A 3,045-nucleotide genomic window follows, 5' to 3' on the forward strand; every position below is an offset into this window, starting at 1 on the left:
CTATAAAAAATACAAAACTTAGCTGAGTGTGGTGACACACACCTGTAGTCCCAGCTACTCAGGAGGCTCAGGTGGGAGGATCGCTTGAGCCCAGGAGGTCAAGGCTGCAGTGAGGCAAGATTGTGCCACTGCACTCCAGCCTGGACGACAGAGCAAGACCCTGTCAGAAAAGAAAAGAAAAGAAAAGAAGAGGAGAGAGAAGAGAGAAGAGAAGAAAAGAGAAGAAAAGAAAAGAAAATCCATAAATGCCTCTTTCTGGCAACAGCAAGGGTGAACCTTCCACCATTTTCCTTGTGACTTTGGACAATCTCAGCACGTTGTTCACATTGCTCTCAGCTCAACTCTGGCCAGGGAACCACAGGGTCCAGAGTTCAAGGTTCAAGTTCAATAATTCAGTGTTGAACACCTGACCCAAAAGGCCTTCTGGCTGTACTAGGCAAGGATAGGACCCACTTCTTTTGCCATGGAGCCCTTGCTGGGCATGGTAGCATTGTAGACACCACCCCACCCCACGTAGGATGGGCACTGGTTTGTATTCATTTATATAGTCAGCTCTCCACTTCGGTATAAACTTCTGAGGACAAATGGGACTTAATAAAGGCTTACAAAGTTAATAAGTGTGATTTGGAAAGCCAGAGCCAAGCAGAAAGAGAATGCCACTTCCGATTTTCTTTTGTCAAGGAAGTGTTTGATTGAGATTTACATTAGTGTGAGAATAAGAAAAAAAGAAAAACTTAGCATGGCAAAAGTACAATATATTTAACCTAATGTGATTTTATCCTAGATATAAGAGAACCCTGGGCAAAAGGGAAAATAGCCCACTTAACGTGAACGAAGTGAGCAAACAACCTACTGTTTCCCTAAAAAGGGTTGGTGGAGAATAGAAAGTAAGAGAAAAATATAGGTAAACGAAAACTTTGGTTGGAGAAGCTGATGCATCTGGATGATAAAAACATGTTATATGAAAGAAACAGAGAGACAGGAAGAATGAATGAAGAGAAGGAAGGAGAGAGAGAGGAGGCCAGTGTAGGGGGACAGCATAAGTGAGGGGGAGAGAGGAGGAAAGAGTGCAGAAAGGTAGGGGACCAGACTTTGCAGGGCCTCTCAGGCCATCAAAAGGATGGGGGGTTTCTCCCCTGAGTGAAGCAAGAACCCTGGACACAGTGGGCAGAGCAAGGACGGATGGATGTGTATGGTACCAGGACAGTGGGACACACTTCATTTGGGAGGGTGAGGAGGAGATAGGTTCACAGGAAAGTCCTCAGCACAGTGACACACAGTAAGCACCAAGCCCACCACTTATATCATGAGCCCTATTCTATCCCCCAATACCTGCAGGCCCAGAGAGGTAAAGCGCCTGCCCAAGGTCACAGCCACAGAAGCACACAGACACACACAGAGACATTTGTCTAGAGGACCGTGGGGAGCCGGGCTAAGCGAGCGGGAAGTCCAGAGGCAGGTTGGCTGCTGGGCAGGAAAGGGCAGAGAGTACATGGTTACCGTGCCGCCGTTGGCCTCTAAATCTGTTCCTTACCTAGGGGATGGGGGAGTAGCAGTGACATCTCCTACATGAGTCATTTAGGTGGTGCACACACACACACAAAGAAACAAACACACACAGACACACAGAGAGACATAGACACACAGAGGCACACACAGACACACAGAGAGACATACAGAGACACACATACATACACACAAACACACACACACACAGATACACAGACATCTGGAGACACACAGAGACACACAGATACACAGAGAGACCTCTAGAGACACACAGACATACAGAGACACACACATACATACACAGAGACACACAGTTATACAGACACACAGAAAGAGACACACAGACACACACAGACACACACATTCATACACACACACAGAAACACACACGTAAACACACATAATACATTAGTAAACTGAACTGCCAAATTGTCAAAATAACAAATTCCAGAATGAGCTAAGCGTTGATGAAATTCTTCCTGTAGAAATGAACAGAAGAGGTGACACCAGGGCTAACCTACTCAGGAATGACCTGGGTAAGCTCTTCCTAGGACAAGCTGTCACAATCTCCCCAAGGAGAAAGAGACACTATGCCATTATGGTTAAAATAAAGGGGTATTTCCTTGACTTCCCTCCCACCATTTTCCCAGGCAGAAAGCAGCACAGTGAGATTCAGATGCAAGCACACACTACTTTTCACCTTGTCAGGCCTCTGAGCCCAAGCTAAGCCATTATATCCCCTGTGACCTGCACGTATACATCCAGATGGCCCGAAGTAACTGAAGAATGACAAAAGAAGTGAAAATGGCCTGTTCCTGCCTTAACGGATGACATTACCTTGTGAAATTCCTTCTCCTGGCTCATCCTGGCTCAAAAGCTCCTCCACTGAGCACCTTGTGACCCCCACCCCTGCCCGCCAGAGAAAAACCCCCTTTGACTGTAATTTTCCTTTACCTACCCAAATCCTATAAAACGGCCCCACCCCTAACTCCCTTCACTGACTCTCTTTTCAGACTCAGCCCGCCTGCACCCAGGTGAAATAAACAGCCTTGTTGCTCACGCAAAGCCTGTTTGGTGGTCTCTTCACACGAACTCAAGTGAAACACCTCACATGCCACGTGGAGGGCCGGCTCCGACGCTAGCGGCCCGGAGAAGCCCAGAGCAATACTCCATCCCAGGCTCCTCACCTAGGACCTTTCGTGATTCCTGCCTCCTGAGCCCCACCTCCAGAACTTCTGATGTCACTCACCTGGGGTAGGCCTGGGCATGTGGAATTTAAACATCTTCACAAGGGTCCCAACATACAGTCTCAGGGCTGCAAACTACTGACTTAAAGGGTTATCTTTCATGCCCAGCATATATTATGGAGAGAAAATAGCAAGTCAAGGAATCTGCATGGTGGTTGGCAAATAGTAGGTGCTCAGCATATGTTCACTGGAGGGTTGAAGTATCCAGCATGGATTCCCTCCTATTATTAGACTTGCCCTTTTCCATGCTTATTTTCTAGCTTTGGCATTCTTTACTCCAAGCTTGTAT

The 3,045-nt window shown here is 47.1% G+C and overlaps 1 annotated feature.

Annotated features, from left to right (window-relative positions):
• Window positions 2,160-2,661: an enhancer, noted in NCBI's record as "H3K4me1 hESC enhancer chr5:172214701-172215202 (GRCh37/hg19 assembly coordinates)". NCBI's record gives its function as "activates a minimal SCP1, AML or CMV promoter by ChIP-STARR-seq in naive H9 embryonic stem cells {active_cell/tissue: H9 hESC(naive)}" and the evidence as "EXISTENCE:reporter gene assay evidence [ECO:0000049][PMID:30033119]".

Source organism: Homo sapiens, chromosome 5 (assembly GCF_000001405.40).
Source record: "Homo sapiens chromosome 5, GRCh38.p14 Primary Assembly".
NCBI lineage: Eukaryota > Metazoa > Chordata > Mammalia > Primates > Hominidae > Homo > Homo sapiens.